This window comes from Homo sapiens, chromosome 16, assembly GCF_000001405.40.
Source record: "Homo sapiens chromosome 16, GRCh38.p14 Primary Assembly".
Classification (NCBI taxonomy): Eukaryota; Metazoa; Chordata; class Mammalia; order Primates; family Hominidae; genus Homo; species Homo sapiens.
The window spans coordinates 69,309,074-69,310,221 of NC_000016.10; positions in this window are offsets into that span (position 1 = coordinate 69,309,074).

Here is a 1,148-nt window from a genome sequence, read left to right on the forward strand (position 1 = left end):
AATTTTTAAAATGCTGAAATAGTTTTGAACCTACAGGAAAGTTACAAAAACAATACAAATCTTCTTCACCCAAACCTTCCAGTTGTTAACATTTTGCCATATTTATTCCATTACCTTGTCTTTCTCTAATATGATTCTCTAGCACCCTTAAATTCTCTAGTGAGGACCTCCAAAACATAAGGACAGTCCTTGCATTGCCACCATAAAGTCCTCCTAATCAAGAAATCAACATTGGCACACCACCACTCATTCCATAGACCCCATTCAAATGATGCCAGCCATCCCGGCCATGTCCTGTTTTCCTCTCTGGCCTTGGATCCTGGCCAATACCACTTTCTTGCCTTTTGTCGTCGTGTCTCAGTTCTTCAGTCTGGAATGTTCCTCGGCCTTACTCTAATTCGCATGTGCCTGAGTCTCAGCACAAGGCTTTGATTGTTCAGCACAGCTCTCCAGCTGGCTCTATTCGGTGTTGCCTCACAACCAGGCTGTGTCACACACTCTTGGCAGAGATGCCACGATGCCATGCTCTCTTCAGGGTATCATGTGGAGAGACACACGAGGGCCACGCATCCCACCACCAGGGGTGTTCCCTTCGGTCGCGTAGTCAAGCTAATGTCCTCATTGTTTTCTCCTTTGTATTTATTTATTTATTTAGAGATGGAGTTCCGCTCTTGTCGCCCAGGCTGGAGTGCAATGGCGTGGTCTTGGCTCACTGCAACCTCCGCCTCCCAGGTTCAAGCGATTCTCCTGTCTCAGCCTCCCAAGTAGCTGGGATTACAGGTGCCCACCACCATGGCCGGCGAATATTTTGTATTTTTAGTAGAGACAGGGTTTCACCATGTTGGCCAGGCTGGTCTTGAACTCCTGACCTCAAGTGATCCACCTGCCTCGGCCTCCCAAAGTACTGGGATTATAGGCGTGAGCCACCGCGCCCGGCCTCTCCTTTGTATTTAATTAGCATTTTGTGAAGAGAGATTAAGGTGTGCCAATTTTTTGGTTTTTTTTTTTTTTTTTTTTTTTTTTTTTTTTTTTTTTTTTTGGAGGCAGGGTCTTGCTTCATTTCCCAGGGTGGAGTACAATGGCCTGGTCACGGCTCACTACAGCCTCGACCTCCCAGGCTCCAGCAATTCTCCCAACTCAGCTTACGG